Here is a 12,676-nt window from a genome sequence, read left to right on the forward strand (position 1 = left end):
TTTCATGTCTCTTGGCTGCATAAATGTCTTCTTTTGAGAAGTGTCTGTTCATAGACTTCGCCCACTTGTTAATGGGGTTGTTTGTTTTTTTCTTGTAAATTTGTTTGAGTTCTTTGTAGATTCTGGATATTAGCCCTTTGTCAGATGAGTAGATTGCAAAAATTTTCTCCCATTCTGTAGGTTGCCTGTTTGCTCTGGTGGTAGTTTCTTTTGCGGTGCAGCAGCTCTTTAGTTTAATTAGATCCCATTTGTCAATTTTGGCTTTTGTTGCCATTACTTTTGGTGTTTTAGACATGAAGTCCTTGCCCATGCCTATGTCCTGAATGGTATTGCCTGGGTTTTCTTCTAGGGTTTTTATGGTTTTAGGTCTAACATTTAAATCTTTAATCCATCTTGAATTGATTTTTGTATAAGGTGTAAGGAAGGGATCCAGTTTCAGCTTTCTACATATGGCTAGCCAGTTTTCCCAGCACCATTTATTAAATAGGGAATCCTTTCCCCATTTCTTGTTTTTGTCAGGTTTGTCAAAGATCAAATAGTTGTAGATGTGTGGCATTATTTCTGAGGGCTCTGTTCTGTTCCATTGGTCTATTTCTCTGTTTTGGTACCAGTACCATGCTGTTTTGGTTACTGTAGCCTTATAGTATAGTTTGAAGTCAGGTAGCGTGATGCCTCCAGCTTTGTTTTTTTGGCTTAGGATTGACTTGGCAATGTGTGCTCTTTTTTGGTTCCACATGAACGTTAAAGTAGTTTTTTCCAAGTCTGTGAAGAAAGTCATTGGTAGCTTGATGGGGATGGCATTGAATCTGTAAATTGCCTTGGGCAGTATGGCCATTTTCACGATATTGATTCTTCCTACCCATGAGCATGGAATGTTCTTCCATTTGTTTGTATCCTCTTTTATTTCGTTGAGCAGTGGTTTGTAGTTCTCCTTGAAGAGGTCCTTCACATCCCTTGTAAGTTGGATTCCTAGGTATTTTATTCTCTTTGAAGCAATTTTGAATGGAGACCCATCAGTGTGCTGTATTCAGGAAACCCATTTCATGTGCAGAGACACACATAGGCTCAAAATAAAGGGATGAAGGAAGATCTACCAAGCAAATGGAAACAAAAAAAGTCAGGGGTTGCAATCCTAGTCTCTGATAAAATAGACTTTAAACCAACAAAGATCAAAAGAGACAAAGAAGGCCATTACATAATGGTAAAGGGATCAATTCAACAAGAAGAGCTAACTATTCTAAATTTATATGCACCCAATATAGGAGCACCCAGATTCATAAAGCAAGCCCTTAGAAACCTACAAAGAGACTTAGACTCCTACACAATAATAATGGGAAACTATAACACCCCACTGTCAACATTAGACAGATCAACGAGACAGAAAGTTAACAAGGATATCCAGGACTTGAACTCAGCTCTGCACCAAGCAGACCTAATAGACATCTACAGAACTCTCCACCTCAAATCAACAGAATATACATTCTTCTCAGCACCACACCACACTTATTCCAACATTGACCACATAGTTGGAAGTAACGCACTCCTCAGCAAATGTAAAAGAACAGAAATTATAACAAGCTATTTCTTTTCCTTGGCCACTAGGAAGCTCATAGTCAGATTTGCCACCCACCTGTAGTAATTGTGTGGGTATATATTTAGGGGCAATAACTTCTACCCTTCAGATCCCCTTTTTACTGTTCAATCTTTTTACTCTCCAGTACCTATATCTTTTTATTTTTCATAATACATATATTGCGGTAAGTTATTTTAGATCTCCTTCACTCCACTACAGTTTTCTTATTATCTTTTGGAAAACTGTACATGGATATCTGGTAGCCTCATCAGACTTAATCTATTCTATTCTAAAGTAAAGCATGTTCTCAAATGTGCCCCTCTTCCTGTTTCCTGTTTTTGGTAAAGGGATCCCATCAGTTCAGGCATCTAAGTTTGCAGTCTTTCTGTCCTTTTTCATCATCTTCCTCTTATGTAGCACATCCAGTTGTTAACCAGATCGTTTAAATCCAGAAGCAATTTCTATGACTTCTCAAGTCTCTCCTGATCCTTGATCTTTTCATTCACCAGTACTTGCCTGGACTACTGTTTCACTAATTTTCTAACTGCCCTCAATTTCTCTACCATTGTCTACTAGTAATCCATTATGCACACTGATTCTAGTTATTTAAAAATCATTTGCTCTTCTATGATTCTTGTTACTACTTACAGCATGAAGCCCAAATCCCTCATATGCCATTCACAGCTCTTTACAATTTGGCTCCCAACCTATGTTTTAAATCTCATCTTAGTCCATTCCTCCCTCTTGTTTGTGTCCTTCACAGCAACCACCAGCCTAATCACCAGTCCCCAAACACAAAACGCATTTCAACGCCTTGTTGTTTTCTCTGCCTGAGATGCCCTTCCCAACTCCTTCAAGTCCTAATGTTTCCCTAGTCTCTTCTCAAATATTATCTTGTGTGAGGCTCTCCTCTCTTTTTTGCACAGCACAGAGGAACTAGTTGCCTTGTCCTCAGTCTTTCCATCCCACTTTCTTAATACTACTGTTAGAGCATCCCTTGCCCTGCTTTGGACTTGTTGTGTATGCATATCTCTTTCTCCAAATCATGAGCTCCTCATGGACTTTGTCTGAGTAGAAGGGAGGGAATATACAAGGTATCTGCCAACTCTGCTTTTAAGAATAAAATATACCGACACAGAGACTGTGGAGTCCATAGAATTGATGAGGCCTTCAGTGGGTGAGGATTGAAAACTTGGCTAATTAACTGCTGACCTTCAAATGTTAATATTATAAAGACTATCTTCATGGCAATAGAAAATTTGCAATACCATCATAATAAACGTTCTAGCAGTCAAAGTCAGTTTTTATCATTTCTGTACAGAAGAAACTTACTTGATTTTTTGTACAGAAGAAACTTACCTGATTTTATTTCAGAGAAATAAAAGGTATACATTTAACATTTAACATAACATATATTTACTACTTTCTTTTAATAATGTGTACCATTAAAGCTTATTTTCTTACCAAAAGTATAAACATGAGTTAACCACCTCAGGCTTTTGTTTCTTTTCTTTTTAGAGCTACTATGGGAATCAAGTAACTACTTTGGATCCTGTGAGAATCCATGATAATATTATCACGTTACATTGATCTTTTTTTACCAAAAGTATAAAATAAAAAGCAATTGGGGAAATAAGTAGTTTTATCATCCAGTGGTAGATTTCATTCATGAATACACTTCACTACAAAAAATAATACAAAACATGGTAAAAACAGAATGTGGATTTGCTTTTTGTAGCTTTTCCCACAGGGTTGATATTATATGTACTATCTTCATGCTAATGAAAAACTTGCAATACCATCATAATAAAGGTTCTAGCAGTCAAAATGAGTTGTTATCTTTTCTTTACAGAAGAAACTTACCTGATTTTTCTTTTTCTCTTTTAGGAATAGGCAAGTCAAGAGGCTGAAAAATCTGAAGCATGTTTCCAAAGAGCAACCTAACAGTCACTTGCTGGGTATGGAGGAGCATGAGGAAGCTCTTTCTATTGCTTTCTCTCTTGCTGTCCCATGCAGCTCATTTGGAAGGCAAAAAGGATAATCAGTTCATCTGGAAACCAGGTAGGAATGTCCTGGCTGTTCCTTTGTCCTATTTTCATTAACAGGAAGAATATTCTTTCCATCCTTCTTCTTCTTCTTTCTAAAGTAGTGGGAAATATCCAGAGAGGAAAAATAGACTCTTTTTTTTAAATTCTGCAGCTCATATTTGATTTTTTACTCCTGCATAATTGTCTTCTCCATCCATGATGCTTGTTATCCTTCTGAATTTTCATGTTGTTGTCAATTAAAGTTATGATTTCCATAGTTACATCTACTTCTCCTTTGTCAAATATTTCACCAGTGTGCAGCACATTTGTAGCAAAAATGACATCTGAATTTAGCTGATATTCTCAGCTAAGAACGCTTTGGACCAGTTCTGCATGTCTCTTTCAGGGTTTAAACTAGTTAGCTATTTATTATTAAATGCTTTCCAGCATAGATCTTCTATGTCTAGGTTTGAGAGCATGAAAAATTATCCTGACAGCTTTGCTCATTAGTTGTGACTGCAAAGTCACGTTAATGTATTTTGAGATTCTTAGCTACCTCATGCATTATCCTTTATGTATATGAATAATTTGAGTTGAAATTTGGGGCTGGAATATAACTTATGTTCATCTCTAAATATTTCCTTAATTTGGCTGTGAAAAAGATCTGTTAAATTTAATTTCAGAGCCTAATAATTTATTAACTTAAATTATGAACCCTAAACATCTTAGCTCTTTGTATTACTGATGCTTTTCCTTGCTCTGGATTTTAATTTTCTTTAAGTTTCACAATCAGATCATTTAAAATATTTATTGCTTTCTCAAGACTCCATTCTTTCAAATACTGATAACTTATATACTTAATATCTTGGAACTGGAAAATGTGATGTTATAGAAGATCTATGGTCCTCAAAGAATTTTCATTTTGGCCCCATCATCTGTAAATTAAATAGACTTCAAATATATTGTGTCACCATGGAAATATGTATAAAAGTGATGTTTGTAATATTTAAATAATTTTGCAAAAATGAAAGTGAATTATGCTTTAAAGTCTATTAAGTAAAAAAAAAACACAGCCACCATTAGAGATACAGTCTGGATGAAATTTAATTGCATTAAAGCCCCTATAAATTAATTTAACTGTGGGCTCCAATACTTCATTACTGATTTGCATTTTTTTTTCCCTCAGAGTAGTTTTAGGCAGCTTTGGAAATAGTCCTGAAAGTCAGTATTTCCTTTCTGGGAATGGGGTTATTTTGTTTTAATCACAAAAGATGAACATTTGATCAAATCAAAATATGCACATTTTTATGACTACTGTCGAAAGTTTTAAAAAATATATGGTTAAAATGGAAAGTGGCAAATTTGAAAAACGAATGAGATGTGTTAAGAAAATGGGGTTATTTTGAAGCAAGTTTTAAAATAAGCGTGCTTTTCTAAAAGTAGGTCATTGGAACAAGATGGTAAAAACAAACTCTACAGTGGATGAATTTTTTTGGTAACTGTCAAACTTAAGTTTCAGAAGTGAGGATCCTTTTCATCATACATAACACATTGTTTAAAATGAACATATAAGTCACTACTGTCACTTCTCCTGGTATTCATTACTTCTTTCCCTCCTTACAGTGCCATCAAAAAGGTAACAATATAATTTTTTCCTATTTGGTTTTGCTTTCAAAGCAGATTACTTATGTATGACTGACATTTTAAAAGTGAAAGAAATCTAAAAGGTACAAAATTAAGAACAAAAGCTCCAATGTATCCCTTTCCAATCTCTTTTGTATCCTTCAGAAAATTTCCTTGTACATGTAAGTACACATTTATGCATGTTTATGTGTATGAATCACACAGAAGATACACATATAGTTATTAATTAGGTTCTGTTAAAAAAGAAACAGCACATGCGAAGTCGGCAGTTGAGAAGAGTTTCATAGAAGGACATTTACAAAAGTAGGCAAGTGTGAGCAGTGTGTAAGGACAGGAACAAGGGATTGTGCAGTGACCCTGAACTGTATCAGTTGGGAGCCTCTACAACTTCTGGGTATGTAGGGGCCAGGAGAAAGAGTGGTTCCCAGAATCTGGAGAGGTGCTTGACAAATGCTGTGGCTTTTAAAGGGATACAGCCAACCTGCAGCAAAATAGGAAGGAGGCCAGGGGAATGAAGGGCTCCACCTCACTTTCCTCCAGCTTTCATATCTGCCAGGCCTCCCATTGGATGAATTCAACCAAAAACCACAAGGCAGGGGAGCCCATGGATATATCCATTCAGGTAAACATCTTGAGCAGGAAGCAGGATGGAGAATGGTGCACCTGAAAATATTTAATTCTTCCATATGTGCATGTATGTATACACACATATTTCATGTAAGTGGAATCATACTCTGCACTGCTTTCTGCAACTATCTTTGATCATATAATGATATATTGATGAATATTACATATTAATGCACATAGGCCAACCTCATCTTTTAATGACTGCATAGTATTCTTTAGCATTTTTATTTAATAAATTTATCTAGTTTTCCTGTTGCTTTATCTTCTCTTCCTCTATTGCTTGGCATTTCAGTGGTTTCTAGTTTTTTTGCTATTATAAATAATGCTGACATGAATGCAGTATTATTTTAAAGGTAAGCAATAATAAATTGATTTAAGGAGTTATATCCCTAGAAAAATTCTAGTTTATAACCTTTGAAGACAACATCAACATCTTAGAATCTGTTACCTATTTACGGATGAGTTTAGTGTATTTCATTTTGATTTTTAACACTGTATTGCAGTTGAAATTAGCTGTATTTTTAGGGTATGTTATCAAATCCAAGAACTCAGGTCCAGTGTAATTTGGAATTTGAACAGATTTCCATGGAGACCCAGATAACTGTACTTTATTGTAGAAACCTAGAAACCATTCTCTGGGTTTTGATTGCTGTGTCAACCACTTTACTCTTTTGCTGGTGTCTATTGTTCCCCACCCCCACACCCCAAATCGGTAGGTCCGATGTTAGTCAACCTCATCCAAATTACAGGCATTTCTAAGTGAGTCCTGGCTTTGGAAAAACAATGGATTGATGAATAATAAGTGAGTGTATTATGTTTTTTAGGATTTCCATACTGAGGGAGAGTCTGCTGAGTTGTAGGCTGCAAGGTCATTGATCTGTCAAGGCTGTTAAATGCCTATCATTATTGTGATGAGATCCTATAATCTATATTGGTGTCAGACACTCTGTTAGCTGTGTCAAGAAAGAAGGATCACGTCAGCAACAGTATCAGATAAGGGACAATGTTGTTTGCGGTTTTAAGTTTCAATATAAAACTATTCATGCCTGCCTGCTTTGTGGAGATGAACAGATTATGGTCTCTGATCCCACAGTAAATTGTGCTCTCTTAAAAAATTCCTCAGTTTTGGTTCTAAGAGGTTCACTTATTTCTAGTAATACTTATTGAGTCCTTACTGTGTGTCAAGCATTGTTACAAGTACATGAGATAAATTGATTGAGAATAAAATAGGCAAATCCTCGGTCCTCATAAAGAGGGCAATAAACATGATCAGTAGTTAAATAGAGTATGCTAGATGAGGGCGAGTGGTAAGAAGGAAAAATGAGGCCAGGAGGAGGGATATGCAGTGGGAGCAGGGAGACTAAAAGCTTAAGGAGGTTGTCCATGAGCTGCCTGAGGAAGTGAATCTGAGTAAAGACCTGAGGGAAGTGAGGGAGCCAGCTGTAGATATATCAAGGTGAAGAAGAACATCCCAGATGGTGGGAACAAGAAGGACAAAGGACCTTAGGCAGGAGTGTGGGAGGCATACTTGAGGACATGTGGGGAGGCCAGCATGCAGGAGCAGAGTGAACATGGGGAGGGTGATGGGAGCTCAGGTGAGACGGGTAACGGGGTCCACATGGGGTATGTCCTCATAGGTCAGAATAAGATTTTGTCTTTTACTCTATGTGAGATAGAAAGACATGGGAGGGTTTTGAGAGGGTGGTGACATAAGCTGACTTTCTTGTTGACTTTCTTTTCAATAAGATTTGAAGAGGATCCTTGTGGGTGGCTGGCTGAGAAGAGCAGGGCAAGGAGATGAGGTAGGAGGCTACTGCAGAATTAAAGGGAAGAGCCATGGTGATAGCTTGAACCAAGGCCATGGCAGTGGAGGTGCGGAGAAGGAGTTGAATCTTGGCTATATTATATTTAAGGCCACAGTTATCAACCAAGGGTGATTTTGCCGTGCTGGGGACATTTGGCAATGCCTGGAGACATTTCTGGTTGTCAAAACTGGGGGTGCTACTGATGTGTGTTGAGTAAAATCCAGGGATGCTGATAAACATTCTAAAATGCACAGAGCAGTCTTCTACAATAAAGAATTATCAGGCCCAAAGAATCTCAACAGTGCCCAGGTTGAGAAACCCTGAGTTAAGATAAAGCCATCAGGATTTATTGATGTGGGATGGGTGATACTGACTTTGCCCTGAACAACTGGAAGAGTGGAGTTGCTGTCATTTAATATGGGCTGAGAAGGAGCTGGTATACAGGGAATATTAAGCACTCAGAATTGGGCATGCTACACTTTTGATTCTGTTAGAAATTCTTGTGGAGGTGTCGACTAGGAAGTTATGGGGTCTGAATTCAGGAGAGAGGTTTCTGCTGGAGATATAAATTTGAGAGCTACTACCAAAGAGGTAGGATTTAAATATGTAGTCCTAGAAATGAAGAGATTAGCTTGAAATTTGTGATCTGGCATAGGTAGAGGATAAAATTCTAATATATTTCCTTTTAGGACTGAAACGATGTTAAAGAAAATTGTTGTGGCAAAATATACACAACATAAACTTTACCATTTTAACCACTTCAAAGTATACAATTCAGTGATATTAGTACATCACAGTGTGGTGGAATCATCACCTCTATCTAATTTCAGAACATTTTCATCACCCCAAGCTATATTTTGCAAGTGAGCTTATAAAAAGTCTGGAAAACAAATTATGTTTTGAATAATACGTTCTGAAATAGAAGAAAACTCCATATTTGTTGTGTGTGTGTGTGTGTGTGTGTGTGTGTGACAGGCTTTTAAAATAGCCTTCAGTCATCCTAAGAGATTACTCTTGATATAGTTTGGATGTTTGTTCCATCTAAGTCTCACATTACAATGTAATCCCCAATGATGGAGGTGGGGTCAGGTGGCAGGTGTTTGGATCATGAGGGGGGATCCCTGAAGAATGGCTTGGTGCCATCCTGGCAGTAGTGAGTGAGTTCTTGCTTTATTAGTTCCTGAGAGATCTGGTTGTTTAAAAGAGAATGGCACCTACCCCCCATCTTGCTCCCTCTTGCCATGTGACACACTGGCTCTCCCTTTGCCTTCCTCTCTGATTGTAAGCTTCCTGAGGTCTCACCAGAAGCAGATGCTAGCACTGTGCTTCCTGTACAGTCTGTAGAACCATGAGCCAAATTAAACATTTTCTTTATAAATTACCTAGTCTTGGGTATTCCTTTGAGAAATGAAAACATACTAATACAAGTATAATACTAACACTAATACAGACTAATACTAATACAGGTAAACAAATGTTCAAATCCTGGTTGTCTAAGGGGAAAAAGTTGTTTAACCTCTCTGAGCCATATTTATCCATCTGAAAATGGATATTGATAATAAACACTTTACAGGACTCTTTGAGAATTAAGTAAGACACTTTGAAATACCTAATATATAGTGGCTATTCAATAACTGTTAGCTACTATTTCTATCATTGTTGTATAATAATTTCAGGTTTAAAATATTTACTTGTGCTTTTATGTTATACAATTTCTGTATACTTCTCTTAGACATACAAAAAAGAGGGGATTATTTGACAGATATGTGCACTTTATTAATAAATGGTCAAAATTATTTCACTGGCTTTTTTAGGTCTAAAACTTTATATATGCCAAACTCTAGGAAAGTTTTAATTTCAGTAGCTCATGCTCAATGAATAAAAAGGGTGAGGATAATGACCTGTTTCTAAGAACTAAGTATATAAATTGGAATTAATATTTTTGGAAAAAAGAGACTATGAAAATTGCATTGCATAAGGAATAAAGTATCTTACATATATTAATATTTAGTTATAGCTTAAATAATAGTGTTTTCAGCATTGAATGTACTTTAAGGAAAAAATTGCATTATGTATATTACCTATTTATATATTAAAGGTTAGGAATTTTAGAGAAAATAAAATGTTCTTAGGAGAGAGCTATTTTTTAAAATATGTGCTAGAAGTTCATGAAATTTTTTTCTGGAAATTTTACTTATGTTGACATCATTTTAATTACTTCCATGGATATTGGTTTATCTAAGAGGCATGAGTGTTAAATCAGCAATATCCAAAAGTATAGACATATGGCCTGGAGTTCACCACTAAAAATTCTAATTTTTTTATAGACCACAGTCACTAATTTTCCAAGGTTTCCAATAGGTCAGAAAAACATCCATCTTACCTAAATTGCATAAAATAAATTACTCTGCTATATTTTTTCTAAGTAGTATTAAAATATAGGCTCCCTGAGGACAGGGCATTTTGCTGGTTTTATTCACCAATATACTCCAAGTGTCAAGAATATACATAACCTATATAATAAGAATAAAATATGAAAAATATCCCCAGCACATTAAATAAAATAAGGGACACTGTCTTTTGGGGTGTGTGTGTGTGTGTGTGTGTGTGCTTGTGTGTGTGTACATGTATTTAGGGGAGTTGAGAAGAGATGAAAGAGAAAATATGACCCATCTTATTCTAGAGCTTGTAGTATATATTGAGGAGAGGATATAAAATGACTATAAATTAAAGTCAAACTTATAAATCAGTAAATGTGAAAATGTATTTCCATGTCACTTTATTCCAGTACCATTTCTGATCATCTCTGGAAAAGAGGTTGAACTCAATCTTTAAAAAACAGGCTCACATAGTTAAAGATTTAAATATTATTCTAAATCTTATAACAAGATATTATAGTTATATCTCACCTTCCAGTTCATTTACATAAAGAGACAGTTTCAGCTCTTTTTGCTGTTTATTCTGATATTCACCTTCATATTTCTAGGTAATATGCTCATGATTGATACTTCTTAGTTGATAGATATTAGATAGTTCCTATTGACTCTCTGTTATGTTAGTTAAGGATTTATGTCTCCTAGATCTACTCCTCTCCTCCTTACTACAGTTATTCAGAATAGTTCTATCAAAATATTTAAATCAACAAACAGTGCCCATACTCTTTGTAGTGTCCGCTGCTGAGCCAAGCAGTGTGCTGTGCACCTGCATCCTTTCTTGTTCAGCTTTTTCTTTTACATGGAAATGAAAAATTTCCTTCTTTATTGTTTTGCTTGGTTTTCTTTGAACCTACTGCTGCTTTTCCCCAAGGCTCCATCTGATATGTCACATGCCCATCATTAATTTATTCAAAGATTCAAGCGCAGTTCCAAGTGCTCTATTATATTTTTTTCTTTGGGAGATTTTCCCACAGTCCTGTCCCCCTGCACAGCCTGCATAGTCATCATCTGTGGAACATCCTTTTGCTCTCGATCATCTTGAATCCCTTGTTTCCTGTTCTGTTTCTCTTCTTTGCCTTTATTGTCGTGTTTTCCAGAACTGCTAAACGCATCCTCTAGTACTGCTAAAATAGGGTGTACTGGAAGTAATTTTTCAAATCCGTTGATGTCTGAAAGGGTCTTTGTGCTTGTCATATACTTGATTGATAGCTTGGGTGTGACATTCAAGGTTAAAAGGCATTTTTTCCTTCAGAATTTTGAAAGTCTTGCCCTATTGTATTATAGTCCCCAGTGCCATTACTGAGAAATTTGACGCCATTCTGATCCCGACTTTTTGCACATTGCTACCTGTTTGCTTGTTATTCTTTCTCTGGCATCTTTTTTTATCCATGAAGTCTGAAATTTCGTGATTATATGCTTTGAGGTAAGCCTGTTTTCTTTATGGTGCTAGATGTTTGTAGGATATTTCGATTGGTGTACTCATTGCTCATTCATGTCCATGTCCTACTCCTTCTTCTTCTTCTTCTTCTTCTTCTTCTTCTTCTTCTTCTTCTTCTTCTTCTTCTTCTTCTTCTTCTTCTTCCTCTTCCTCTTCCTCTTCCTCTTCCTCTTCCTCTTCTTCTTCTTCTTCTTCTTCTTCTTCTTCTTCTTCTTCTTCTTCTTCTTCTCCTTTCTTCTCCTTTCTTCTCCTTTCTTCTCCTTTCTTCTCCTTTCTTCTTCTTCTTTCTTCTTCTTCTTCTTCTTCTTCTTTTTTTTTTTTTTTTAAGACGGAGTCTCACTCTGTCGCCCAGGCTGGAGTGCAATGGTGTGATCTCGGCTCACTGCAACCTCCACCTCCTGGGTTCAAGCGATTCTTCCGCCTCAGCCTCCTGAGTAGCTGGGATTACAGGCATCCACCAACATGCCAGGCTAAGTTTTTGTATTTTCAGTAGAGACAGGGTTTCACAATGTTGGCCAGGCTGGTCTCGAACTCCTGACCTCAGGTGATCCACCTGCCTCAGCCTCCCAAAGTGCTGGGATTATAGGCGTGAGCTACCGTGCCTGGCCATGTCCTACACTTCTGAGATTTTTTTTTTATGCAATTTCCTCTTCTCTGTTGTGTGAATTCCTTCTGAAACTCCTTAGACAAAGGTTTGACCTCTCTTACTGATCTTCAATTTTTAGATAATTTCCATATTTGTGTTTTGTTTGTATATTTATTTTAATGTCTAAATTTTTTTTCTACTTCATCTTTTAACTATTATTTTGAACTTTTTTTATTTCTACAATCCCTTTTTTTAATTTGTAAGGTCTTTTACTTGTTCTATGATTTTTTTAAATTTCATCTTGTTTCATAGATGTAGTGACTTTTCATTCAGAGGATATTAAGGACAGTTTAATCTTTTTCCTTTCATTCTCTGCTTCCTCTGAGTCATTTTTTCCTGTTTCCTTCATTTATGTGTTTGATCATGGCCCCTGACATAGTGAGCTTTCTTCTAATGTCTATTAATTATTGGCTATCTCTTTAGTGTTTCACATTATTAAAAGCGAGGCACTAAAACTGATTCAACATTCCATGTACATGAC

General features: G+C 36.3%; 1 protein-coding gene across 1 annotated transcript in view; it reads left to right on the forward strand.

Annotated features, from left to right (window-relative positions):
- The window catches only part of THSD7B (thrombospondin type 1 domain containing 7B), a 912,174-nt gene that overhangs the window by 113,139 nt on the left and 786,359 nt on the right, over positions 1–12,676 (forward strand). Inside the window, exon 2 of the mRNA NM_001316349.2 lies at positions 3,461–3,634. Coding sequence (NP_001303278.1) covers positions 3,496–3,634 — 139 coding nt within the window. The 5' untranslated portion in view covers positions 3,461–3,495. The remainder of the gene's footprint in view (positions 1–3,460; positions 3,635–12,676) is intronic.

Source organism: Homo sapiens, chromosome 2 (assembly GCF_000001405.40).
Source record: "Homo sapiens chromosome 2, GRCh38.p14 Primary Assembly".
NCBI lineage: Eukaryota > Metazoa > Chordata > Mammalia > Primates > Hominidae > Homo > Homo sapiens.